Here is a 21,814-nt window from a genome sequence, read left to right as displayed (position 1 = left end):
GAATTCCTCAGACAGGTCCAAATATCCACTTGCAGATTCTACAGAAAGTGTGTTTCGAAACTACTCCATCCCAAGGAAAGTACTGCTCTGTGAGTTCAACTGAATCATCTGAGAGAATTTTCTGAGAAAGCTTCTGTCTTGTTTTTATAGGAAGTTATTTCCTTTACTACGATAGGCCTCAAAGAAGTGCAGTTATACTCTTGCACTTTCTACAAAAAGAGTGTTTCAAACCTGAACTATCAAAGAAAGGTTCAACACTGTGGGTTGAATGCAAACGTCACGAAGAAGGTTCTGAGAATGCTTCTGTTTAGTTCTGTGCGGTTTATCCCGTTTCCAACGAAATCCTCAGAGAGGCCCAAGTATCCGCTTGCAGATCTTACAGATAGTGTGTTTCCAAACTGCTCCATCAAAAGGAATGTTCAACCCTGTGAGTTACACTCAGTCGTCAGAAAGAGTTTTCTGAGAATGCTGCTGTCTAGTTTTTATATGAAGCTGTTTCCTTTACTGCCGTAGGCCTCAAAGCGGTCCATATCTCCACTTGCAGATTCTACACAACGAGAGTTTCCAAAGTGCTCTGTGAAAGGGAATGTTCACCTCTGTGACTTGAATGCAATCGTCACAAAGTAGTTTCTGAGAATGCATCTATCTAGTTCTAACGGGAAGATAATTCCTTTTCCACCACAGTCCTCAAAGCCCTCCAAATATCCACTTGCAGATTCTAGAAAAAGAGTGTTTCAAAGCTTCTCTCTCAAAAGGAAAGTTCAACTCTGTGAGTTTAAAGCAAACATCAAAAAGAGGTTTCTGAGAATGCTTCTGTTTAGCTTTTCTGTGAAGATTATCCCTTTTCCAACGAAATCTTCAAAGAGGCCCAAACATCCACTTGCAGATGCCACAGAAAGAGTGTTTGGAAACTGCTGTTTGAAAAGGAACCTTCAACTCTGTGAGTTGAATGCAGTCATCACAAACAAGTTTCTGACAATGCTTCCCTCTAGTTTTTACGTGACGATAATTCGTTTTCCACCACAGGCTTGAAATCTCTCCAAATGTCCACTTGCAGACCCTACGAAAAGCATGTTTCTCATCTGCTCTATGAAAAGCAACGTGAAACTCTGTGATTTGAACACAAACATCACAGAGAAGTTTCTGAGAATGCTTCTGTTTAGTTTTTATGTGAAGATATTCCCGTTTCCAAAGACATCTTCAAGGAGGACGACATATCCACTTGCAGATTCCACAAAAAGAGAGATTCTAAACTGCTCTATCCATAGCAGGGTTCAACTCAAAGTTGAATGCAATCATCCCAGAGAAGTTTCTGAGAAGGCTTCTGTCTAGATTTTATTTGAAGATGTACCCGTTTCGAAGGAAGGCCAAAGAGTGGTCCAAATATCCACTTGCAGATCCTACAAAAAGAGTGTTTCAAACCTGAACTATCAAAGGAAGGTTCAACTCTGGGATTTGAATGCAAACATCACGAAGAATTTTGTGAGAATGCTACCGTTTAGTTAGGTGCAGTTATCCCGTTTCCAACGAAATCCTCAGAGAGGTCCAAATATCCACTCGCAGATTCTATAGAAAGTGTGTTTCAAACCTGCTCCATCCAAAGGAATGTTCAGCTCTGTGTGTTAAACTCAATCATCACAAAGTATTTTCTGAGAATGCTTCTGTCTTGATTTTATGTGAAGCTCTTCCCTTTACTACCATAGGCCTCAAAGCGCTCCAAATCTCCACTAGCAGATTCTACAACAAGAGTGTTTCCAAACTGCTCTGTCAATAGGAATGCTCCACTCTGTGAGGTGAATGCAATCATCACAAAGTAGTTTCTGAGAAGGCTTCTATCTAGTATTTACGTGGAGATATTTCCTTTTCCACCACAAACCTCACAGCCCTCCCAATGTCCACTTGCAGATTCTAGAAAAAGAGTGTTTCATAGCTGCTCTTTCCGAAGGAAAGTTCAACTCTGGAAGTTGAATACAAACATCACCAAGGAGTTCCTGAGAATGCTTCTGTGTAATTTTTATGTGAAGATGATTCCGTTTCCAACGAAACCTTCAAAGAGGTCTGCATGTCCCTTTGCAGATTCCAGAGAAAGAGAGTTTCAAAACTGCGCTCTCAAAAGGAGTGTTCAACTCTGTGAGTTGAATGCAGTCATCACAGAAAAGTTTCTGAGAATGCTTCTGTCTAGATGTTATGTGAAGATATACCCGTTTCGAACGAAGTCCACAGAGTGGTCCGAATATCCACTTGTAGATCCTGCAAAAAGAGTGTTTCCAACCTGAACTTTCAAAGGAAGGTTCAATTCTGGGATTTGAATGCAAACATCACAAGAAGATTCTGAGACTGCTTCTGTTTACTTAGCTGAAATTATCCCGTTTGCAACGAATTCCTCAGACAGGTCCAAATATCCACTTGCAGATTCTACAGAAAGTGTGTTTCGAAACTACTCCATCCCAAGGAAAGTACTGCTCTGTGAGTTCAACTCAATCATCCCAGAGAATTTTCTGAGAAAGCTTCTGTCTTGTTTTTATAGGAAGTTATTTCCTTTACTACGATAGGCCTCAAAGAAGTGCAGTTATCCACTTGCAGTTTCTACAAAAAGAGTGTTTCAAACCTGAACTATCAAAGAAAGGTTCAACACTGTGGGTTGAATGCAAACGTCACGAAGAAGGTTCTGAGAATGCTTCTGTTTAGTTCTGTGCGGTTTATCCCGTTTCCAACGAAATCCTCAGAGAGGCCCAAGTATCCGCTTGCAGATCTTACAGATAGTGTGTTTCCAAACTGCTCCATCCAAAGGAATGTTCAACCCTGTGAGTTACACTCAGTCGTCAGAAAGAGTTTTCTGAGAATGCTGCTGTCTAGTTTTTATATGAAGCTGTTTCCTTTACTACCATAGGCCTCAAAGCGGTCCATATCTCCACTTGCAGATTCTACACAAAGAGAGTTTCCAAAGTGCTCTCTGAAAGGGAATGTTCACCTCTGTGACTTGAATGCAATCGTCACAAAGTAGTTTCTGAGAATGCATCTATCTAGTTCTTACGGGAAGATAATTCCTTTTCCACCACAGGCCTCAAAGCCCTCCAAATATCCACTTGCAGATTCTAGAAAAAGAGTGTTTCAAAGCTTCTCTCTCAAAAGGAAAGTTCAACTCTGTGAGTTGAAAGCAAACATCACAAAGAAGTTTCTGAGAATGCTTCTGTTTAGCTTTTCTGTGAAGATTATCCCGTTTCCAACGAAATCTTCAAAGAGGCCCAAACATCCACTTGCAGATGCCACAGAAAGAGTGTTTGGAAACTGCTGTTTGAAAAGGAACCTTCAACTCTGTGAGTTGAATGCAGTCATCACAAACAAGTTTCTGACAATGCTTCCCTCTAGTTTTTACGTGACGATAATTCGTTTTCCACCACAGGCCTGAAATCTCTCCAAATGTCCACTTGCAGACCCTACGAAAAGCATGTTTCTCATCTGCTCTATGAAAAGCAACGTGAAACTCTGTGATTTGGACACAAACATCACAGAGAAGTTTATGAGAATGCTTCTGTTTAGTTTTTATGTGAAGATATTCCCGTTTCCAAAGACATCTTCAAAGAGGACCACATATCCACTTGCAGATTCCACAAAAAGAGAGATTCAAAACTGCCCTATCCATAGGAGGGTTCAACGCCTTCAGTTGAATGCAATCATCACAGAGAAGTTTCTGAGAAGGCTTCTGTCTAGATTTTATATGAAGATGTACCCGTTTCGAAGGAAGGCCAAAGAGTGGTCCAAATATCCACTTGCAGATCCAACAAAAAGAGTGTTTCAAAGCTGAACTATCAAAGGAAGGTTCAACTCTGGGATTTGAATGCAAACATCACGAAGAATTTTGTGAGAATGCTTCCGTTTAGTTAGGTGCAGTTATCCCGTTTCCAACGAAATCCTCAGAGAGGTCCAAATATCCACTCGCAGATTCTATAGAAAGTGTGTTTCAAACCTGCTCCATCCAAAGTAATGTTCAGCTCTGTGTGTTAAACTCAATCATCACAAAGTATTTTCTGAGAATGCTTCTGTCTTGATTTTATGTGAAGCTCTTCCCTTTACTACCATAGGCCTCAAAGCGCTCCAAATATCCACTAGCAGTTTCTACAACAAGAGTGTTTCCAAACTGCTCTGTCAATAGGAATGCTCCACTCCGTGAGTTGAATGCAATCATCACAACGTAGTTTCTGAGAAGGCTTCTATCTAGTATTTACGTGGAGATATTTCCTTTTCCACCACAAACCTCACAGCCCTCCCAATGTCCACTTGCAGATTCTAGAAAAAGAGTGTTTCATAGCTGCTCTTTCCGAAGGAAAGTTCAACTCTGGAAGTTGAATACAAACATCACCAAGGAGTTCCTGAGAATGCTTCTGTGTAATTTTTATGTGAAGATGATTCCGTTTCCAACGAAACCTTCAAAGAGGTCTGCATGTCCCCTTGCAGATTCCAGAGAAAGAGAGTTTCAAAACTGCGCTCTCAAAAGGAGTGTTCAACTCTGTGAGTTGAATGCAGTCATCACAGAAAAGTTTCTGAGAATGCTTCTGTCTAGATGTTACGTGAAGATATACCCGTTTCGATCGAAGTCCACAGAGTGGTCCGAATATCCACTTGTAGATCCTGCAAAAAGAGTGTTTCAAACCTGAACTTTCAAAGGAAGGTTCAATTCTGGGATTTGAATGCAAACATCACAAGAAGATTCTGAGACTGCTTCTGTTTACTTAGCTGAAATTATCCCGTTTGCAACGAATTCCTCAGACAGGTCCAAATATCCACTTGCAGATTCTACAGAAAGTGTGTTTCGAAACTACTCCATCCCAAGGAAAGTACTGCTCTGTGAGTTCAACTCAATCATCCCAGAGAATTTTCTGAGAAAGCTTCTGTCTTGTTTTTATAGGAAGTTATTTCCTTTACTACGATAGGCCTCAAAGAAGTGCAGTTATCCACTTGCAGTTTCTACTAAAAGAGTGTTTCAAACCTGAACTATCAAAGAAAGGTTCAACACTGTGGGTTGAATGCAAACGTCACGAAGGAGGTTCTGAGAATGCTTCTGTTTAGTTCTGTGCGGTTTATCCCGTTTCCAACGAAATCCTCAGAGAGGCCCAAGTATCCGCTTGCAGATCCTACAGATAGTGTGTTTCCAAACTGCTCCATCCAAAGGAATGTTCAGCCCTGTGAGTTAAACTCAGTCGTCAGAAAGAGTTTTCTGAGAATGCTGCTGTCTAGTTTTTATATGAAGCTGTTTCCTTTACTACCATAGGCCTCAAAGCGGTCCATATCTCCACTTGCAGATTCTACACAACGAGAGTTTCCAAAGTGCTCTGTGAAAGGGAATGTTCACCTCTGTGACTTGAATGCAATCGTCACAAAGTAGTTTCTGAGAATGCATCTATCTAGTTCTTACGGGAAGATAATTCCTTTTCCACCACAGGCCTCAAAGCCCTCCAAATATCCACTTGCAGATTCTAGAAAAAGAGTGTTTCAAAGCTTCTCTCTCAAAAGGAAAGTTCAACTCTGTGAGTTGAAAGCAAACATCAAAAGAAGTTTCTGAGAATGTTTCTGTTTAGCTTTTCTGTGAAGATTATCCCGTTTCCAACGAAATCTTCAAAGAGGCCCAAACATCCACTTGCAGATGCCACAGAAAGAGTGTTTGGAAACTGCTGTTTGAAAAGGAACCTTCAACTCTGTGAGTTGAATGCAGTCATCACAAACAAGTTTCTGACAATGCTTCTCTCTAGTTTTTACGTGACGATAATTCGTTTTCCACCACAGGCCAGAAATCTCTCCAAATGTCCACTTGCAGACCCTGCGAAAAGCATGTTTCTCATCTGCTCTATGAAAAGCAACGTGAAACTCTGTGAGTTGAACACAAACATCACAGAGAAGTTTCTGAGAATGCTTCTGTTTAGTTTTTATGTGAAGATATTCCCGTTTCCAAAGACAACTTCAAAGAGGACCACATATCCACTTGCAGATTCCACAAAAAGAGAGATTCAAAACTGCTCTATCCACAGGAGGGTTCAACGCTTTGAGTTGAATGCAATCATCCCAGAGAAGTTTCTGAGAAGGCTTCTGTCTAGATTTTATTTGAAGATGTAACCGTTTCGAACGAAGGCCAAAGAGTGGTCCAAATATCCACTTGCAGATCCTACAAAAAGGGTGTTTCAAAGCTGAACTATCAAAGGAAGGTTCAACTCTGGGATTTGAATGCAAACATCACAAAGAATTTTGTGAGAATGCTTCCGTTTAGTTAGGTGCAGTTATCCCGTTTCCAACGAAATCCTCAGAGAGGTCCAAATATCCACTCGCAGATTCTACAGAAAGTGTGTTTCAAACCTTCTCCATCCAAAGGAATGTTCAGCTCTGTGTGTTAATCTCAATCATCACAAAGTATTTTCTGAGAATGCTTCTGTCTAGATTTTATGTGAAGCTCTTCCCTTTACTACCATAGGCCTCAAAGCGCTCCAAATCTCCACTAGCAGATTCTACAACAAGAGTGTTTCCAAACTGCTCTGTCAATAGGAATGCTCCACTCCGTGAGGTGAATGCAATCATCACAACGTAGTTTCTGAGAAGGCTTCTATCTAGTATTTACGTGGAGATATTTCCTTTTCCACCACAAACCTCACAGCCCTCCCAATGTCCACTTGCAGATTCTAGAAAAAGAGTGTTTCATAGCTGCTCTTTCCGAAGGAAAGTTCAACTCTGGAAGTTGAATACACACATCACCAAGGAGTTCCTGAGGATGCTTCTGTGTAATTTTTATGTGAAGATGATTCCGTTTCCAACGAAACCTTCAAAGGGGTCTGCATGTCCCCTTGCAGATTCCAGAGAAAGAGAGTTTCAAAACTGCGCTCTCAAAAGGAGTGTTCAACTCTGTGAGTTGAATGCAGTCATCACAGAAAAGTTTCTGAGAATGCTTCTGTCTAGATGTTATGTGAAGATATACCCGTTTCGAACGAAGTCCACAGAGTGGTCCGAATATCCACTTGTAGATCCTGCAAAAAGAGTGTTTCCAACCTGAACTTTCAAAGGAAGTTTCAATTCTGGGATTTGAATGCAAACATCAGAAGAAGATTCTGAGACTGCTTCTGTTTACTTAGCTGAAATTATCCCGTTTGCAACGAATTCCTCAGACAGGTCCAAATATCCACTTGCAGATTTTACAGAAAGTGTGTTTCGAAACTACTCCATCCCAAGGAAAGTACTGCTCTGTGAGTTCAACTCAATCATCCCAGAGAATTTTCTGAGAAAGCTTCTGTCTTGTTTTTATAGGAAGTTATTTCCTTTACTACGATAGGCCTCAAAGAAGTGCAGTTATCCACTTGCAGTCTCTACAAAAAGAGTGTTTCAAACCTGAACTCTCAAAGAAAGGTTCAACACTGTGGGTTGAATGCAAACGTCATGAAGAAGGTTCTGAGAATGCTTCTGTTTAGTTCTGTGCGGTTTATCCCGTTTCCAAAGAAATCCTCAGGGAGGCCCAAGTATCCGCTTGCAGATCCTACAGATAGTGTGTTTCCAAACTGCTCCATCCAAAGGAATGTTCAGCCCTATGAGTTAAACTCAGTCGTCACAAAGAGTTTTCTGAGAATGCTGCTGTCTAGTTTTTATATGAAGCTGTTTCCTTTACTACCATAGGCCTCAAAGCGGTCCATATCTCCACTTGCAGATTCTACACAACGAGAGTTTCCAAAGTGCTCTGTGAAAGGGAATGTTCACCTCTGTGACTTGAATGCAATCGTCACAAAGTAGTTTCTGAGAATGCATCTATCTAGTTCTTACGGGAAGATAATTCCTTTTCCACCACAGGCCTCAAAGCCCTCCAAATATCCACTTGCAGATTCTAGAAAAAGAGTGTTTCAAAGCTTCTCTCTCAAAAGGAAAGTTCAACTCTGTGAGTTGAAAGCAAACATCACAAAGAAGTTTCTGAGAATGCTTCTGTTTAGCTTTTCTGTGAAGATTATCCCGTTTCCAACGAAATCTTCAAAGAGGCCCAAACATCCACTTGCAGATGCCACAGAAAGAGTGTTTGGAAACTGCTGTTTGAAAAGGAACCTTCAACTCTGTGAATTGAATGCAGTCATCACAAACAAGTTTCTGACAATGCTTCTCTCTAGTTTTTACGTGACGATAATTCGTTTTCCACCACAGGCCTGAAATCTCTCCAAATGTCCACTTGCAGACCCTACGAAAAGCATGTTTCTCATCTGCTCTATGAAAAGCAACGTGAAACTCTGTGAGTTGAACACAAACATCACAGAGAAGTTTCTGAGAATGCTTCTGTTTAGTTTTTATGTGAAGATATTCCCGTTTCCAAAGACAACTTCTAAGAGGACCACATATCCACTTGCAGATTCCACAAAAAGAGAGATTCAAAACTGCTCTATCCATAGGAGGGTTCAACGCTTTGAGTTGAATGCAAGCATCCCAGAGAAGTTTCTGAGAAGGCTTCTGTCTAGATTTTATTTGAAGATGTACCCGTTTCGAATGAAGGCCAAAGACTGGTCCAAATATCCACTTGCAGATCCTACAAAAAGGGTGTTTCAAAGCTGAACTATCAAAGGAAGGTTCAACTCTGGGATTTGAATGCAAACATCACAAAGAATTTTGTGAGAATGCTTCCGTTTAGTTAGGTGTAGTTTTCCCGTTTCCAACGAAATCCTCAGAGAGGTCCAAATATCCACTCGCAGATTCTACAGAAAGTGTGTTTCAAAACTTCTCCATCCAAAGGAATGTTCAGCTCTGTGTGTTAAACTCAATCATCACAAAGTATTTTCTGAGAATGCTTCTGTCTAGATTTTATGTGAAGCTCTTCCCTTTACTACCATAGGCCTCAAAGCGCTCCAAATCTCCACTAGCAGATTCTACAACAAGAGTGTTTCCAAACTGCTCTGTCAATAGGAATGCTCCACTCCGTGAGGTGAATGCAATCATCACAACGTAGTTTCTGAGAAGGCTTCTATCTAGTATTTACGTGGAGATATTTCCTTTTCCACCACAAACCTCACAGCCCTCCCAATGTCCACTTGCAGATTCTAGAAAAAGAGTGTTTCATAGCTGCTCTTTCCGAAGGAAAGTTCAACTCTGGAAGTTGAATACACACATCACCAAGGAGTTCCTGAGGATGCTTCTGTGTAATTTTTATGTGAAGATGATTCCGTTTCCAATGAAACATTCAAAGAGGTCTGCATGTCCCCTTGCAGATTCCAGAGAAAGAGAGTTTCAAAACTGCGCTCTCAAAAGGAGTGTTCAACTCTGTGAGTTGAATGCAGTCATCACAGAAAAGTTTCTGAGAATGCTTCTGTCTAGATGTTATGTGAAGATATACCCGTTTCGAACGAAGTCCACAGAGTGGTCCGAATATCCACTTGTAGATCCTGCAAAAAGAGTGTTTCCAACCTGAACTTTCAAAGGAAGTTTCAATTCTGGGATTTGAATGCAAACATCACAAGAAGATTCTGAGACTGCTTCTGTTTACTTAGCTGAAATTATCCCGTTTGCAACGAATTCCTCAGACAGGTCCAAATATCCACTTGCAGATTTTACAGAAAGTGTGTTTCGAAACTACTCCATCCCAAGGAAAGTACTGCTCTGTGAGTTCAACTCAATCATCCCAGAGAATTTTCTGAGAAAGCTTCTGTCTTGTTTTTATAGGAAGTTATTTCCTTTACTACGATAGGCCTCAAAGAAGTGCAGTTATCCACTTGCAGTTTCTACAAAAAGAGTGTTTCAAACCTGAACTATCAAAGAAAGGTTCAACACTGTGGGTTGAATGCAAACATCACGAAGAAGGTTCTGAGAATGCTTCTGTTTAGTTCTGTGCGGTTTATCCCGTTTCCAACGAAATCCTCAGAGAGGCCCAAGTATCCGCTTGCAGATCCTACAGATAGTGTGTTTCCAAACTGCTCCATCCAAAGGAATGTTCAGCCCTGTGAGTTAAACTCAGTCGTCACAAAGAGTTTTCTGAGAATGCTGCTGTCTAGTTTTTATATGAAGCTGTTTCCTTTACTACCATAGGCCTCAAAGCGGTCCATATCTCCACTTGCAGATTCTACACAACGAGAGTTTCCAAAGTGCTCTCTGAAAGGGAATGTTCACCTCTGTGACTTGAATGCAATCGTCACAAAGTAGTTTCTGAGAATGCATCTATCTAGTTCTTACGGGAAGATAATTCCTTTTCCACCTCAGGCCTCAAAGCCCTCCAAATATCCACTTGCAGATTCTAGAAAAAGAGTGTTTCAAAGCTTCTCTCTCAAAAGGAAATTTCAACTCTGTGAGTTGAAAGCAAACATCACAAAGAAGTTTCTGAGAATGCTTCTGTTTAGCTTTTCTGTGAAGATTATCCCGTTTCCAACGAAATCTTCAAAGAGGCCCAAACATCCACTTGCAGATGCCACAGAAAGAGTGTTTGGAAACTGCTGTTTGAAAAAGAACCTTCAACTCTGTGAGTTGAATGCAGTCATCACAAACAAGTTTCTGACAATGCTTCTCTCTAGTTTTTACGTGACGATAATTCGTTTTCCACCGCAGGTGGGAAATCTCTCCAAATGTCCACTTGCAGACCCTACGAAAAGCATGTTTCTCATCTGCTCTATGAATAGCAACGTGAAACTCTGTGAGTTGAACAGAAACATCACAGAGAAGTTTCTGAGAATGCTTCTGTTTAGTTTTTATGTGAACATATTCCCGTTTCCAAAGACATCTTCAAAGAGGACCACATATCCACTTGCAGATTCCACAAAAAGAGAGATTCAAAACTGCTCTATCCATAGGAGGGTTCAACGCTTTGAGTTGAATGCAATCATCACAGAGAAGTTTCTGAGAAGGCTTCTGTCTAGATTTTATTTGAAGATGTACCCGTTTCGAACGAAGGCCAAAGAGTGGTCTAAATATGCACTTGCAGATCCTACAAAAAGAGTGTTTCAAAGCTGAACTATCAAAGGAAGGTTCAACTCTGGGATTTGAATGCAAACATCACAAAGAATTTTGTGAGAATGCTTCCGTGTAGTTAGGTGCAGTTATCCCGTTTCCAACGAAATCCTCAGAGAGGTCCAAATATCCACTCGCAGATTCTACAGAAAGTGTGTTTCAAACCTTCTCCATCCAAAGGAATGTTCAGCTCTGTGTGTTAATCTCAATCATCACAAAGTATTTTCTGAGAATGCTTCTGTCTAGATTTTATGTGAAGCTCTTCCCTTTACTACCATAGGCCTCAAAGCGCTCCAAATCTCCACTAGCAGATTCTACAACAAGAGTGTTTCCAAACTGCTCTGTCAATAGGAATGCTCCACTCCGTGAGGTGAATGCAATCATCACAAAGTAGTTTCTGAGAAGCCTTCTATCTAGTATTTATGTGGAGATATTTCCTTTTCCACCACAAACCTCACAGCCCTCCCAATGTCCACTTGCAGATTCTAGAAAAAGAGTGTTTCATAGCTGCTCTTTCAGAAGGAAAGTTCAACTCTGGAAGTTGAATACAAACATCACCAAGGAGTTCCTGAGAATGCTTCTGTGTAATTTTTATGTGAAGATGATTCTGTTTCCAACGAAACCTTCAAAGAGGTCTGCATGTCCCCTTGCAGATTCCAGAGAAAGAGAGTTTCAAAACTGCGCTCTCAAAAGGAGTGTTCAACTCTGTGAGTTGAATGCAGTCATCACAGAAAAGTTTCTGAGAATGCTTCTGTCTAGATGTTATGTGAAGATATACCCGTTTCGAACGAAGTTCACAGAGTGGTCCCAATATCCACTTGTAGATCCTGCAAAAAGAGTGTTTCCAACCTGAACTTTCAAAGGAAGGTTCAATTCTGGGATTTGAATGCAAACATCACAAGAAGATTCTGAGACTGCTTCTGTTTACTTTGCTGAAATTATCCCGTTTGCAACGAATTCCTCAGACAGGTCCAAATACCCACTTGCAGATTCTACAGAAAGTGTGTTTTGAAACTACTCCATCCCAAGGAAAGTACTGCTCTGTGAGTTCAACTCAATCATCCCAGAGAATTTTCTGAGAAAGCTTCTGTCTTGTTTTTATAGGAAGTTATTTCCTTTACTACGATAGGCCTCAAAGAAGTGCAGTTATCCTCTTGCAGTTTCTACAAAAAGAGTGTTTCAAACCTGAACTATCAAAGAAAGGTTCAACACTGTGGGTTGAATGCAAACGTCACGAAGAAGGTTCTGAGAATGCTTCTGTTTAGTTCTGTGCTGTTTATCCCGTTTCCAAGGAAATCCTCAGAGAGACCCAAGTATCCGCTTGCAGATCCTACAGATAGTGTGTTTCCAAACTGCTCCATCCAAAGGAATGTTCAGCCCTGTGAGTTAAACTCAGTCGTCACAAAGAGTTTTCTGAGAATGCTGCTGTCTAGTTTTTATATGAAGCTGTTTCCTTTACTACCATAGGCCTCAAAGCGGTCCATATCTCCACTTGCAGATTCTACACGAGAGCTTCCAAAGTGCTCTCTGAAAGGGAATGTTCACCTCTGTGACTTGAATGCAATCGTCACAAAGTAGTTTCTGAGAATGCATCTATCTAGTTCTTACGGGAAGATAATTCCTTTTCCACCACAGGCCTCAAAGCCCTCCAAATATCCACTTGCAGATTCTAGAAAAAGAGTGTTTCAAAGCTTCTCTCTCAAAAGGAAAGTTCAACTCTGTGAGTTGAAAGCAAACATCACAAAGAAGTTTCTGAGAATGCTTCTGTTTAGCTTTTCTGTGAAGATTATTCCGTTTCCAAAGAAATCTTCAAAGAGGCCCAAACATCCACTTGCAGATGCCACAGAAAGAGTGTTTGGAAACTGCTGTTTGAAAAGGAACCTTCAACTCTGTGAGTTGAATGCAGTCATCACAAACAAGTTTCTGACAATGCTTCTCTCTAGTTTTTACGTGACGATAATTCGTTTTCCACCACAGGCCTGAAATCTCTCCAAATGTCCACTTGCAGACCCTACGAAAAGCGTGTTTCTCATCTGCTCTATGAAAAGCAACGTGAAACTCTGTGAGTTGAACACAAACATCACAGAGAAGTTTCTGAGAATGCTTCTGTTTAGTTTTTATGTGAAGATATTCCCGTTTCCAAAGACAACTTCAAAGAGTACCACATATCCACTTGCAGATTCCACAAAAAGAGAGATTCAAAACTGCACTATCCATAGGAGGGTTCAAAGCTTTGAGTTGAATGCAATCATCCCAGAGAAGTTTCTGAGAAGGCTTCTGTCTAGATTTTATTTGAAGATGTACCCGTTTCGAACGAAGGCCAAAGAGTGGTCCAAATATCCACTTGCAGATCCTACAAAAAGGGTGTTTCAAAGCTGAACTATCAAAGGAAGGTTCAACTCTGGGATTTGAATGCAAACATCACAAAGAATTTTGTGAGAATGCTTCCGTTTAGTTAGGTGCAGTTATCCCGTTTCCAACGAAATCCTCAGAGAGGTCCAAATATCCACTCGCAGATTCTACAGAAAGTGTGTTTCAAACCTTCTCCATCCAAAGGAATGTTCAGCTCTGTGTGTTAATCTCAATCATCACAAAGTATTTTCTGAGAATGCTTCTGTCTAGATTTTATGTGAAGCTCTTCCCTTTACTACCATAGGCCTCAAAGCGCTCCAAATCTCCACTAGCAGATTCTACAACAAGAGTGTTTCCAAACTGCTCTGTCAATAGGAATGCTCCACTCCGTGAGGTGAATGCAATCATCACAAAGTAGTTTCTGAGAAGCCTTCTATCTAGTATTTATGTGGAGATATTTCCATTTCCACCACAAACCTCACAGCCCTCCCAATGTCCACTTGCAGATTCTAGAAAAAGAGTGTTTCATAGCTGCTCTTTCCGAAGGAAAGTTCAACTCTGGAAGTTGAATACAAACATCACCAAGGAGTTCCTGAGAATGCTTCTGTGTAATTTTTATGTGAAGATGATTCCGTTTCCAACGAAACCTTCAAAGAGTTCTGCATGTCCCCTTGCAGATTCCAGAGAAAGAGAGTTTCAAAACTGCGCTCTCAAAAGGAGTGTTCAACTCTGTGAGTTGAATGCAGTCATCACAGAAAAGTTTCTGTGAATGCTTCTGTCTTGATGTTATGTGAAGATATACCCGTTTCGATCGAAGTCCACAGAGTGGTCCGAATATCCACTTGTAGATCCTTCAAAAAGAGTGTTTCAAACCTGAACTTTCAAAGGAAGGTTCAATTCTGGGATTTGAATGCAAACATCACAAGAAGATTCTGAGACTGCTTCTGTTTACTTAGCTGAAATTATCCCGTTTGCAACGAATTCCTCAGACAGGTCCAAATATCCACTTGCAGATTCTACAGAAAGTGTGTTTCGAAACTACTCCATCCCAAGGAAAGTACTGCTCTGTGAGTTTAACTCAATCATCCCAGAGAATTTTCTGAGAAAGCTTCTGTCTTGTTTTTATAGGAAGTTATTCCCTTTACTACGATAGGCCTCAAAGAAGTGCAGTTATCCACTTGCAGTTTCTACAAAAAGAGTGTTTCAAACCTGAACTATCAAAGAAAGGTTCAACACTGTGGGTTGAATGCAAACGTCACGAAGAAGGTTCTGAGAATGCTTCTGTTTAGTTCTGTGCGGTTTATCCCGTTTCCAACGAAATCCTCAGAGAGGCCCAAGTATCCGCTTGCAGATCCTACAGATAGTGTGTTTCCAAACTGCTCCATCCAAAGGAATGTTCAGCCCTGTGAGTTAAACTCAGTCGTCACAAAGAATTTCCTGAGAATGCTGCTGTCTAGTTTTTATATGAAGCTGTTTCCTTTACTACCATAGGCCTCAAAGCGGTCCATATCTCCACTTGCAGATTCTACACAAGGAGAGTTTCCAAAGTGCTCTGTGAAAGGGAATGTTCACCTCTGTGACTTGAATGCAATCGTCACAAAGTAGTTTCTGAGAATGCATCTATCTAGTTCTTACGGGAAGATAATTCCTTTTCCACCACAGGCCTCAAAGCCCTCCAAATATCCACTTGCAGATTCTAGAAAAAGAGTGTTTCAAAGCTTCTCTCTCAAAAGGAAAGTTCAACTCTGTGAGTTGAAAGCAAACATCACAAAGAAGTTTCTGAGAATGCTTCTGTTTAGCTTTTCTGTGAAGATTATCCCGTTTCCAACGAAATCTTCAAAGAGGCCCAAACATCCACTTGCAGATGCCACAGAAAGAGTGTTTGGAAACTGCTGTTTGAAAAGGAACCTTCAACTCTGTGAGTTGAATGCAGTCATCACAAACAAGTTTCTGACAATGCTTCCCTCTAGTTTTTACTTGACGATAATTCGTTTTCCACCACAGGCCTGAAATCTCTCCAAATGTCCACTTGCAGACCCTACGAAAAGAATGTTTCTCATCTGCTCTATGAAAAGCAACGTGAAACTCTGTGATTTGGACACAAACATCACAGAGAAGTTTCTGAGAATGCTTCTGTTTAGTTTTTATGTGAAGATATTCCCATTTCCAAAGACATCTTCAAAGAGGACCACACAACCACTTGCAGATTCCACAAAAAGAGAGATTCAAAACTGCTCTATCCATAGGAAGGTTCAACGCTATGAGTTGAATGCAATCATCACAGAGAAGTTTCTGAGAAGGCTTCTGTCTAGATTTTATTTGAAGATGTACCCGTTTCGAAGGAAGGCCAAATAGTGGTCCAAATATCCACTTGCAGATCCTACAAAAAGAATGTTTCAAAGCTGAACTATCATAGGAAGGTTCAAATCTGGGATTTGAATGCAAACATCACGAAGAAGTTTGTGAGAATGCTTCCGATTAGTTAGGTGCAGTTATCCCGTTTCCAACGAAATCCTCAGAGAGGTCCAAATATCCACTCGCAGATTCTACAGAAAGTGTGTTTCAAACCTGCTCCATCCAAAGGAATGTTCAGCTCTGTGTGTTAAACTCAATCATCACAAAGTATTTTCTGAGAATGCTTCTGTCTAGATTTTATGTGAAGCTCCTCCATTTACTACCATAGGCCTCAAAGCGCTCCAATTCTCCACTAGCAGATTCTACAACAAGGGTGTTTCCAAACTGCTCTGTCAATAGGAATTCTCCACTCCGTGAGGTGAATGCAATCATCACAACATAGTTTCTGAGAAGGCTTCTATCTAGTATTTACGTGGAGATATTTCCTTTTCCACCACAAACCTCACAGCCCTCCCAATGTCCACTTGCAGATTCTAGAAAAAGAGTGTTTCATAGCTGCTCTTTCCGAAGGAAAGTTCAACTCTGGAAGTTGAATACAAACATCACCAAGGAGTTCCTGAGAATGCTTCTGTGTAAATTTTATGTGAAGACGATTCCGTTTCCAACGAAACCTTCAAAGAGGTCTGCATGTCCCCTTGCAGATTCCAGAGAAAGAGAGTTTCAAAACTGCGCTCTCAAAAGGAGTGTTCAACTCTGTGAGTTGAATGCAGTCATCACAGAAAAGTTTCTGAGAATGCTTCTGTGTAGATGTTATGTGAAGATATACCCGTTTCGAACGAAGTCCACAGAGTGGTCCGAATATCCACTTGTAGATTCTGCAAAAAGAGTGTTTCAAACCTGAACTTTCAAAGGAAGGTTCAATTCTGGGATTTGAATGCAAACATCACAAGAAGATTCTGAGACTGCTTCTGTTTCCTTAGCTGAAATTATCCCGTTTGCAACGAATTCCTCAGACAGGTCCAAATATCCACTTGCAGATTCTACAGAAAGTGTGTTTCGAAACTACTCCATCCCAAGGAAAGTACTGCTCTGTGAGTTCAACTCAATCATCCCAGAGAATTTTCTGAGAAAGCTTCTGTCTTGTTTTTATAGGAAGTTATTTCCTTTACTACGATAGGCCTCAAAGAAGTGCAGTTATCCACTTGCAGTTTCTACAAAAAGAGTGTTTCAAACCTGAACTATCAAAGAAAGGTTCAACACTGTGGGTTGAATGCAAACGTCACGAAGAAGGTTCTGAGAATGCTTCTGTTTAGTTCTGTGCGGTTTATCCCGTTTCCAACAAAATCCTCAGAGAGGCCCAAGTATCCGCTTGCAGATCCTACAGATAGTGTGTTTCCAAACTGCTCCATCCAAAGGAATGTTCAGCCCTGTGAGTTAAACTCAGTCGTCACAAAGAGTTTTCTGAGAATGCTGCTGTCTAGTTTTTATATGAAGCTGTTTCCTTTACTACCATAGGCCTCAAAGCGGTCCATATCTCCACTTGCAGATTCTACACAACGAGAGTTTCCAAAGTGCTCTCTGAAAGGGAATGTTCACCTCTGTGACTTGAATGCAATCGTCACAAAGTAGTTTCTGAGAATGCATCTATCTAGTTCTTACGGGAAGATAATTCCTTTTCCACCACAGGCCTCAAAGCCCTCCAAATATCCACTTGCAGATTCTAGAAAAAGAGTGTTTCAAAGCTTCTCTCTCAAAAGGAAAGTTCAACTCTGTGAGTTGAAAGCAAACATCACAAAGAAGTTTCTGAGAATGCTTCTGTTTAGCTTTTCTGTGAAGATTATCCCGTTTCCAACGAAATCTTCAAAGAGGCCCAATCATCCACTTGCAGATGCCACAGAAAGAGTGTTTGGAAACTGCTGTTTGAAAAGGAACCTTCAACTCTGTGAGTTGAATGCAGTCATCACAAACAAGTTTCTGACAATGCTTCCCTCTAGTTTTTACTTGACGATAATTCGTTTTCCACCACAGGCCTGAAATCTCTCCAAATGTCCACTTGCAGACCCTACGAAAAGAATGTTTCTCATCTGCTCTATGAAAAGCAACGTGAAACTCTGTGATTTGGACACAAACATCACAGAGAAGTTTCTGAGAATGCTTCTGTTTAGTTTTTATGTGAAGATATTCCCGTTTCCAAAGACATCTTCAAAGAGGACCACACAACCACTTGCAGATTCCACAAAAAGAGAGATTCAAAACTGCTCTATCCATAGGAGGGTTCAACGCTTTGATTTGAATGCAATCATCACAGAGAAGTTTCTGAGAAGGCTTCTGTCTAGATTTTATTTGAAGATGTACCCGTTTCGAACGAAGGCCAAAGAGTGGTCCAACTATCCACTTGCAGATCCTACAAAAAGGGTGTTTCAAAGCTGAACTATCAAAGGAAGGTTCAACTCTGGGATTTGAATGCAAACATCACAAAGAATTTTGTGAGAATGCTTCCGTTTAGTTAGGTGCAGTTATCCCGTTTCCAACGAAATCCTCAGAGAGGTCCAAATATCCACTCGCAGATTCTACAGAAAGTGTGTTTCAAACCTTCTCCATCCAAAGGAATGTTCAGCTCTGTGTGTTAAACTCAATCATCACAAAGTATTTTCTCAGAATGCTTCTGTCTAGATTTTATGTGAAGCTCTTCCATTTACTACCATAGGCCTCAAAGCGCTCCAAATCTCCACTAGCAGATTCTACAACAAGGGTGTTTCCAAACTGCTCTGTCAATAGGAATGCTCCACTCCGTGAGGTGAATGCAATCATCACAACGTAGTTTCTGAGAAGGCTTCTATCTAGTATTTATGTGATTTAGCTTCCATAGATTCTCAGGAAGCTTCTGTGTAGTTCTTATATGAAGATATTTCCTTTTCCACCATAGGCCTCAAACTGCCTACATATTTCTCTTTGCAGATTCTGCAAAAAGACTGTTTCCAAACTGCTCCATGAAAAGAAATGTTCAAATCTCTGTGATGAATGCATACATCACAAAAAGTTTCTCAGAAAGCTTCTGTCTAGGTTTTATGTGAAGACATTTCCTTTTTCACCATGGGCCACAAAGGGATCACAAATATCCTTATGCAGATTTTAAAAAAGACTGTTTCAAAACTGCTCAATCAAAGGAAAGTTTGAACTCTGTGAGATGAATGCACCCATCACAAAGAAGTTTCTCAGAAAGCCTCTGTCTATTTTTTGTGTGAAGATATTTTCTTTTTCACCATTGGCCTCAAAGCACTCAAAAATGTCCCTTTGCAGATTCTAGAAAAAGACTGTTTCCAAACTGCTCAATCGAAACAAAGGTTCAACTCTGAGATGAATTCACACATCACAAAGAAGTTTCTTGGAATGCTACTGTCTAGTTTTTATGTGAAGATACTTCATTTTTCACCATGAGCATAAAAGCGTTCTCAAATATCACTTTACAGATTCTGCAAAAAGACTGTTTCCAAACTGCTCAATCAAAACAAAGGTTCAACTCAGTGTGGTGAATGCACACATCACAAGGAAGATTCTCAGAAACCTACTGTCTAGTTCTTATATGAAGATATTTACTTTTTCAAAATTAGCCTATAACTGCCTGCATATATCTCTCTGCAGATACTACAAAAACACTGTTTCCAAACTGCTCAACAAAAGAATGGTTCAACTCTGTGAGATGAATGTACACATCACAAAGTAGTTTCCTAGAAAGGGTCTGTCTAGATTTTATTTGTCAATATTTCCTTTTTCAACATCGGCATCAAACAGCTCACAAAAATCCTTTTGCAGAATTTACAAAGAGACTTTTTACAAACTGCTCAAAAAAAAGAAAGGTTCAGCTTTGTGAGATGAAAGCACACATCACAAAGAAGTTCCTCAGAAAGCTTCTGTCTAGTTTTTATATGAAGATATTTCCCTTTTCACCATATGCCTCAAACCCCTACAAATATCCCTTGGCAGATTCTACAAAAAGACTGTTTCATAACTGCTCAATCAAAAGAAAGGTTGAACTCTTTTAGATGAATGCACACATTATAAAGAAGTTTCTCTGAAAGCTTCTGTCTAGGTTTTATATGAAGATATTTCCTGTTTCACCCTAGGCCTTAAAGCGCTCACAAATGTCCCTATGCAGATTGTACAAAAAGTCTGTTTCCAAACTGCTCAATCAAACGAACTGTTCAAATCTGAGAGAGAAATGCAAATATCACAAAGAAGTTTCTCAGAAACTTCTGTCTAGTTTTTATGTGAACATATTTCCTTTCTCACCATAGGCCTCATACCGCTCACAAATATCCCTTTTCAGATTCTCCAAAAACACTGTTTACAAACTGCTCAATCAAAAGAAAGGCTCATCTGTGTGTGATCAATTCACACAACACAGGGAAGATTCTCAGAAAGGTTGTGTCTAGTTTTCATATGAAGTTATTTCCTATTTCACCATCAACCTCAAATCGCCTACATATTTCCCTTTGCAGAATCTACAAAAAGATGGTTTGCAAACTGCTCAATCAAAAGAAACATTCAACTCTGCAAGGTGAATGCACACATCACGAAGAAGTTCTCAGAAAACTTCTCTCTAGGTTTTATATGAAAATGTTTCCTTTTCACAGTAGTCCTCAAAGTGCTCACAAATGTACCTTTGCAGATTGTACAAAAAGACTGTTTCCAAACTGCTCAATCAAAAGAAAGGTTGAATCCTGTGAGATGAATGCACACATCACACAGAAATTTCTCAGAAGGTTTCTGTTTAGTTTTTATGTGAAGGCATATCCTTTTTCACCATAGGCCACAAAGGTATCACAAATATCCCTTTGCAGATTCTACAAAAACACTGTTCCCAAACTGCTCAATCAAGAGAATGGTTCCACTCTGTGAGACGAATGCACACATCACAAAGAAGTTTCTCAGAAAGCTTCTGTGTGGTTTTTATGTGAATATATTTCATTTCTTGCCAAAGGACTTTAACTGCTAACAAATATCCCTGCACAGAATATACAAAAAGACAATTTCAAAAGTGCTCAATCTAAGGAAAGATTCAGCTCTGTGATATGAATGCACACATCACAAAGAAGTTTCTCAGGAATCTTCTGTCTAGTTTTTATTTGCAGATATTTCCTTTTTCACCATAGGCCTCAGAGGGCTTACTTGTATCCATCTGTGGATTCTACAAAAACAGTGTTTCCAAACTGATTAATCATAAGAAAGTTTCAACTCTGTGAGATGAATGTACACATCATAAGGAAGTTTCTTAGAAGGCCTCCGTCTAGTTTTTATGTGAAGATATTTCCTTTCTCAGAGTAGGCCTCAAATCCCACCAAATATCCTTTTGCAGATTCTACAAAAAAACTGTTTCCAAACTGCTTGATCAAAAGAAAAGTTCAACTCCATGAAATGAATGCACACATCCCAAAGATATTTCTCTGAAAGCTTCTGTCTAGTTTTTATATGAAGATATTTCCTTTTTCATCATAGGCATCAAATGGCTCACAAATATCTCTCTGAAGATTCTACAAAAAGACTGTTTCCAAACTCCTCAATCAAAACAAAGTTTCAACTCTGTGAGATGAATGCACGCATCACAAAGAAGTTTCTCAGAAAGCTTCCACGTAGTTTTTAGGTGAATATATTTCCTTTTTCACCATAGGCCTCAAAGCGCTCAAAAACATTACTTTGCAGCTTCTACAAAAAGACTATTTCCAAACTGCTCAATCAAAAGAAAGTTGCAAGTCTGTGAGATGAATGCACACATCACAAAGTAGTTTCTCAGAAAGCTTCTTTCTAGTTTTCTTTTTTTTTTTCATTTTTCTTTTTTTTTCTTTTTTTTTTATTGATCATTCTTGGGTGTTTCTCACAGAGGGGGATTTGGCAGGGTCATAGGACAATAGTGGAGGGAAGGTCAGCAGATAAACAAGTGAACAAAGGCCTCTGGTTTTCCTAGGCAGAGGACCCTGCGGCCTTCCACAGTGTTTGTGTCCCTGGGTACTTGAGATTAGGGAGTGGTGATGACTCTTATGGAGCATGCTGCCTTCAAGTATCTGTTTAACAAAGCACATCTTGCACCACCCTTAATCCATTTAACCCTGAGTGGACACAGCACATGTTTCAGAGAGCACAGGGTTGGGGGTAAGGTCACAGATCAACAGGA

The 21,814-nt window shown here is 40.2% G+C and overlaps 31 annotated features.

Moving 5' to 3' along the window:
- Positions 385–972: an enhancer, noted in NCBI's record as "OCT4-NANOG-H3K27ac-H3K4me1 hESC enhancer chr17:22262035-22262622 (GRCh37/hg19 assembly coordinates)". NCBI's record gives its function as "activates a minimal SCP1, AML or CMV promoter by ChIP-STARR-seq in primed H9 embryonic stem cells {active_cell/tissue: H9 hESC(primed)}" and the evidence as "EXISTENCE:reporter gene assay evidence [ECO:0000049][PMID:30033119]".
- Positions 973–1,560: an enhancer, noted in NCBI's record as "OCT4-NANOG-H3K27ac-H3K4me1 hESC enhancer chr17:22261447-22262034 (GRCh37/hg19 assembly coordinates)". NCBI's record gives its function as "activates a minimal SCP1, AML or CMV promoter by ChIP-STARR-seq in naive and primed H9 embryonic stem cells {active_cell/tissue: H9 hESC(naive and primed)}" and the evidence as "EXISTENCE:reporter gene assay evidence [ECO:0000049][PMID:30033119]".
- Positions 1,561–2,148: an enhancer, noted in NCBI's record as "OCT4-NANOG-H3K27ac-H3K4me1 hESC enhancer chr17:22260859-22261446 (GRCh37/hg19 assembly coordinates)". NCBI's record gives its function as "activates a minimal SCP1, AML or CMV promoter by ChIP-STARR-seq in naive and primed H9 embryonic stem cells {active_cell/tissue: H9 hESC(naive and primed)}" and the evidence as "EXISTENCE:reporter gene assay evidence [ECO:0000049][PMID:30033119]".
- Positions 2,149–2,736: an enhancer, noted in NCBI's record as "OCT4-NANOG-H3K27ac-H3K4me1 hESC enhancer chr17:22260271-22260858 (GRCh37/hg19 assembly coordinates)". NCBI's record gives its function as "activates a minimal SCP1, AML or CMV promoter by ChIP-STARR-seq in naive and primed H9 embryonic stem cells {active_cell/tissue: H9 hESC(naive and primed)}" and the evidence as "EXISTENCE:reporter gene assay evidence [ECO:0000049][PMID:30033119]".
- Positions 2,737–3,324: an enhancer, noted in NCBI's record as "OCT4-NANOG-H3K27ac-H3K4me1 hESC enhancer chr17:22259683-22260270 (GRCh37/hg19 assembly coordinates)". NCBI's record gives its function as "activates a minimal SCP1, AML or CMV promoter by ChIP-STARR-seq in naive and primed H9 embryonic stem cells {active_cell/tissue: H9 hESC(naive and primed)}" and the evidence as "EXISTENCE:reporter gene assay evidence [ECO:0000049][PMID:30033119]".
- Positions 3,325–3,912: an enhancer, noted in NCBI's record as "OCT4-NANOG-H3K27ac-H3K4me1 hESC enhancer chr17:22259095-22259682 (GRCh37/hg19 assembly coordinates)". NCBI's record gives its function as "activates a minimal SCP1, AML or CMV promoter by ChIP-STARR-seq in naive and primed H9 embryonic stem cells {active_cell/tissue: H9 hESC(naive and primed)}" and the evidence as "EXISTENCE:reporter gene assay evidence [ECO:0000049][PMID:30033119]".
- Positions 3,913–4,500: an enhancer, noted in NCBI's record as "OCT4-NANOG-H3K27ac-H3K4me1 hESC enhancer chr17:22258507-22259094 (GRCh37/hg19 assembly coordinates)". NCBI's record gives its function as "activates a minimal SCP1, AML or CMV promoter by ChIP-STARR-seq in naive and primed H9 embryonic stem cells {active_cell/tissue: H9 hESC(naive and primed)}" and the evidence as "EXISTENCE:reporter gene assay evidence [ECO:0000049][PMID:30033119]".
- Positions 4,501–5,088: an enhancer, noted in NCBI's record as "OCT4-NANOG-H3K27ac-H3K4me1 hESC enhancer chr17:22257919-22258506 (GRCh37/hg19 assembly coordinates)". NCBI's record gives its function as "activates a minimal SCP1, AML or CMV promoter by ChIP-STARR-seq in naive and primed H9 embryonic stem cells {active_cell/tissue: H9 hESC(naive and primed)}" and the evidence as "EXISTENCE:reporter gene assay evidence [ECO:0000049][PMID:30033119]".
- Positions 5,089–5,676: an enhancer, noted in NCBI's record as "OCT4-NANOG-H3K27ac-H3K4me1 hESC enhancer chr17:22257331-22257918 (GRCh37/hg19 assembly coordinates)". NCBI's record gives its function as "activates a minimal SCP1, AML or CMV promoter by ChIP-STARR-seq in naive and primed H9 embryonic stem cells {active_cell/tissue: H9 hESC(naive and primed)}" and the evidence as "EXISTENCE:reporter gene assay evidence [ECO:0000049][PMID:30033119]".
- Positions 5,677–6,264: an enhancer, noted in NCBI's record as "OCT4-NANOG-H3K27ac-H3K4me1 hESC enhancer chr17:22256743-22257330 (GRCh37/hg19 assembly coordinates)". NCBI's record gives its function as "activates a minimal SCP1, AML or CMV promoter by ChIP-STARR-seq in naive and primed H9 embryonic stem cells {active_cell/tissue: H9 hESC(naive and primed)}" and the evidence as "EXISTENCE:reporter gene assay evidence [ECO:0000049][PMID:30033119]".
- Positions 6,265–6,852: an enhancer, noted in NCBI's record as "OCT4-NANOG-H3K27ac-H3K4me1 hESC enhancer chr17:22256155-22256742 (GRCh37/hg19 assembly coordinates)". NCBI's record gives its function as "activates a minimal SCP1, AML or CMV promoter by ChIP-STARR-seq in primed H9 embryonic stem cells {active_cell/tissue: H9 hESC(primed)}" and the evidence as "EXISTENCE:reporter gene assay evidence [ECO:0000049][PMID:30033119]".
- Positions 6,853–7,440: an enhancer, noted in NCBI's record as "OCT4-NANOG-H3K27ac-H3K4me1 hESC enhancer chr17:22255567-22256154 (GRCh37/hg19 assembly coordinates)". NCBI's record gives its function as "activates a minimal SCP1, AML or CMV promoter by ChIP-STARR-seq in primed H9 embryonic stem cells {active_cell/tissue: H9 hESC(primed)}" and the evidence as "EXISTENCE:reporter gene assay evidence [ECO:0000049][PMID:30033119]".
- Positions 7,441–8,028: an enhancer, noted in NCBI's record as "OCT4-NANOG-H3K27ac-H3K4me1 hESC enhancer chr17:22254979-22255566 (GRCh37/hg19 assembly coordinates)". NCBI's record gives its function as "activates a minimal SCP1, AML or CMV promoter by ChIP-STARR-seq in naive and primed H9 embryonic stem cells {active_cell/tissue: H9 hESC(naive and primed)}" and the evidence as "EXISTENCE:reporter gene assay evidence [ECO:0000049][PMID:30033119]".
- Positions 8,029–8,616: an enhancer, noted in NCBI's record as "OCT4-NANOG-H3K27ac-H3K4me1 hESC enhancer chr17:22254391-22254978 (GRCh37/hg19 assembly coordinates)". NCBI's record gives its function as "activates a minimal SCP1, AML or CMV promoter by ChIP-STARR-seq in naive and primed H9 embryonic stem cells {active_cell/tissue: H9 hESC(naive and primed)}" and the evidence as "EXISTENCE:reporter gene assay evidence [ECO:0000049][PMID:30033119]".
- Positions 8,617–9,204: an enhancer, noted in NCBI's record as "OCT4-NANOG-H3K27ac-H3K4me1 hESC enhancer chr17:22253803-22254390 (GRCh37/hg19 assembly coordinates)". NCBI's record gives its function as "activates a minimal SCP1, AML or CMV promoter by ChIP-STARR-seq in naive and primed H9 embryonic stem cells {active_cell/tissue: H9 hESC(naive and primed)}" and the evidence as "EXISTENCE:reporter gene assay evidence [ECO:0000049][PMID:30033119]".
- Positions 9,205–9,791: an enhancer, noted in NCBI's record as "OCT4-NANOG-H3K27ac-H3K4me1 hESC enhancer chr17:22253216-22253802 (GRCh37/hg19 assembly coordinates)". NCBI's record gives its function as "activates a minimal SCP1, AML or CMV promoter by ChIP-STARR-seq in naive and primed H9 embryonic stem cells {active_cell/tissue: H9 hESC(naive and primed)}" and the evidence as "EXISTENCE:reporter gene assay evidence [ECO:0000049][PMID:30033119]".
- Positions 9,792–10,379: an enhancer, noted in NCBI's record as "OCT4-NANOG-H3K27ac-H3K4me1 hESC enhancer chr17:22252628-22253215 (GRCh37/hg19 assembly coordinates)". NCBI's record gives its function as "activates a minimal SCP1, AML or CMV promoter by ChIP-STARR-seq in naive and primed H9 embryonic stem cells {active_cell/tissue: H9 hESC(naive and primed)}" and the evidence as "EXISTENCE:reporter gene assay evidence [ECO:0000049][PMID:30033119]".
- Positions 10,380–10,966: an enhancer, noted in NCBI's record as "OCT4-NANOG-H3K27ac-H3K4me1 hESC enhancer chr17:22252041-22252627 (GRCh37/hg19 assembly coordinates)". NCBI's record gives its function as "activates a minimal SCP1, AML or CMV promoter by ChIP-STARR-seq in naive and primed H9 embryonic stem cells {active_cell/tissue: H9 hESC(naive and primed)}" and the evidence as "EXISTENCE:reporter gene assay evidence [ECO:0000049][PMID:30033119]".
- Positions 10,967–11,555: an enhancer, noted in NCBI's record as "OCT4-NANOG-H3K27ac-H3K4me1 hESC enhancer chr17:22251452-22252040 (GRCh37/hg19 assembly coordinates)". NCBI's record gives its function as "activates a minimal SCP1, AML or CMV promoter by ChIP-STARR-seq in naive and primed H9 embryonic stem cells {active_cell/tissue: H9 hESC(naive and primed)}" and the evidence as "EXISTENCE:reporter gene assay evidence [ECO:0000049][PMID:30033119]".
- Positions 11,556–12,142: an enhancer, noted in NCBI's record as "OCT4-NANOG-H3K27ac-H3K4me1 hESC enhancer chr17:22250865-22251451 (GRCh37/hg19 assembly coordinates)". NCBI's record gives its function as "activates a minimal SCP1, AML or CMV promoter by ChIP-STARR-seq in naive and primed H9 embryonic stem cells {active_cell/tissue: H9 hESC(naive and primed)}" and the evidence as "EXISTENCE:reporter gene assay evidence [ECO:0000049][PMID:30033119]".
- Positions 12,143–12,730: an enhancer, noted in NCBI's record as "OCT4-NANOG-H3K27ac-H3K4me1 hESC enhancer chr17:22250277-22250864 (GRCh37/hg19 assembly coordinates)". NCBI's record gives its function as "activates a minimal SCP1, AML or CMV promoter by ChIP-STARR-seq in naive and primed H9 embryonic stem cells {active_cell/tissue: H9 hESC(naive and primed)}" and the evidence as "EXISTENCE:reporter gene assay evidence [ECO:0000049][PMID:30033119]".
- Positions 12,731–13,318: an enhancer, noted in NCBI's record as "OCT4-NANOG-H3K27ac-H3K4me1 hESC enhancer chr17:22249689-22250276 (GRCh37/hg19 assembly coordinates)". NCBI's record gives its function as "activates a minimal SCP1, AML or CMV promoter by ChIP-STARR-seq in naive and primed H9 embryonic stem cells {active_cell/tissue: H9 hESC(naive and primed)}" and the evidence as "EXISTENCE:reporter gene assay evidence [ECO:0000049][PMID:30033119]".
- Positions 13,319–13,907: an enhancer, noted in NCBI's record as "OCT4-NANOG-H3K27ac-H3K4me1 hESC enhancer chr17:22249100-22249688 (GRCh37/hg19 assembly coordinates)". NCBI's record gives its function as "activates a minimal SCP1, AML or CMV promoter by ChIP-STARR-seq in naive and primed H9 embryonic stem cells {active_cell/tissue: H9 hESC(naive and primed)}" and the evidence as "EXISTENCE:reporter gene assay evidence [ECO:0000049][PMID:30033119]".
- Positions 13,908–14,494: an enhancer, noted in NCBI's record as "OCT4-NANOG-H3K27ac-H3K4me1 hESC enhancer chr17:22248513-22249099 (GRCh37/hg19 assembly coordinates)". NCBI's record gives its function as "activates a minimal SCP1, AML or CMV promoter by ChIP-STARR-seq in naive and primed H9 embryonic stem cells {active_cell/tissue: H9 hESC(naive and primed)}" and the evidence as "EXISTENCE:reporter gene assay evidence [ECO:0000049][PMID:30033119]".
- Positions 14,495–15,082: an enhancer, noted in NCBI's record as "OCT4-NANOG-H3K27ac-H3K4me1 hESC enhancer chr17:22247925-22248512 (GRCh37/hg19 assembly coordinates)". NCBI's record gives its function as "activates a minimal SCP1, AML or CMV promoter by ChIP-STARR-seq in naive and primed H9 embryonic stem cells {active_cell/tissue: H9 hESC(naive and primed)}" and the evidence as "EXISTENCE:reporter gene assay evidence [ECO:0000049][PMID:30033119]".
- Positions 15,083–15,670: an enhancer, noted in NCBI's record as "OCT4-NANOG-H3K27ac-H3K4me1 hESC enhancer chr17:22247337-22247924 (GRCh37/hg19 assembly coordinates)". NCBI's record gives its function as "activates a minimal SCP1, AML or CMV promoter by ChIP-STARR-seq in primed H9 embryonic stem cells {active_cell/tissue: H9 hESC(primed)}" and the evidence as "EXISTENCE:reporter gene assay evidence [ECO:0000049][PMID:30033119]".
- Positions 15,671–16,258: an enhancer, noted in NCBI's record as "OCT4-NANOG-H3K27ac-H3K4me1 hESC enhancer chr17:22246749-22247336 (GRCh37/hg19 assembly coordinates)". NCBI's record gives its function as "activates a minimal SCP1, AML or CMV promoter by ChIP-STARR-seq in primed H9 embryonic stem cells {active_cell/tissue: H9 hESC(primed)}" and the evidence as "EXISTENCE:reporter gene assay evidence [ECO:0000049][PMID:30033119]".
- Positions 16,259–16,846: an enhancer, noted in NCBI's record as "OCT4-NANOG-H3K27ac-H3K4me1 hESC enhancer chr17:22246161-22246748 (GRCh37/hg19 assembly coordinates)". NCBI's record gives its function as "activates a minimal SCP1, AML or CMV promoter by ChIP-STARR-seq in naive and primed H9 embryonic stem cells {active_cell/tissue: H9 hESC(naive and primed)}" and the evidence as "EXISTENCE:reporter gene assay evidence [ECO:0000049][PMID:30033119]".
- Positions 16,847–17,434: an enhancer, noted in NCBI's record as "OCT4-NANOG-H3K27ac-H3K4me1 hESC enhancer chr17:22245573-22246160 (GRCh37/hg19 assembly coordinates)". NCBI's record gives its function as "activates a minimal SCP1, AML or CMV promoter by ChIP-STARR-seq in naive and primed H9 embryonic stem cells {active_cell/tissue: H9 hESC(naive and primed)}" and the evidence as "EXISTENCE:reporter gene assay evidence [ECO:0000049][PMID:30033119]".
- Positions 17,435–18,022: an enhancer, noted in NCBI's record as "OCT4-NANOG-H3K27ac-H3K4me1 hESC enhancer chr17:22244985-22245572 (GRCh37/hg19 assembly coordinates)". NCBI's record gives its function as "activates a minimal SCP1, AML or CMV promoter by ChIP-STARR-seq in naive and primed H9 embryonic stem cells {active_cell/tissue: H9 hESC(naive and primed)}" and the evidence as "EXISTENCE:reporter gene assay evidence [ECO:0000049][PMID:30033119]".
- Positions 18,023–18,611: an enhancer, noted in NCBI's record as "OCT4-NANOG-H3K27ac-H3K4me1 hESC enhancer chr17:22244396-22244984 (GRCh37/hg19 assembly coordinates)". NCBI's record gives its function as "activates a minimal SCP1, AML or CMV promoter by ChIP-STARR-seq in primed H9 embryonic stem cells {active_cell/tissue: H9 hESC(primed)}" and the evidence as "EXISTENCE:reporter gene assay evidence [ECO:0000049][PMID:30033119]".

Source organism: Homo sapiens, chromosome 17 (genome assembly GCF_000001405.40).
Source record: "Homo sapiens chromosome 17, GRCh38.p14 Primary Assembly".
In the NCBI taxonomy this organism is placed as follows: Eukaryota; Metazoa; Chordata; class Mammalia; order Primates; family Hominidae; genus Homo; species Homo sapiens.
The sequence above is the reverse complement of the archived record's forward strand: the minus strand, read 5'-3'. Positions and strand labels throughout refer to the sequence as shown.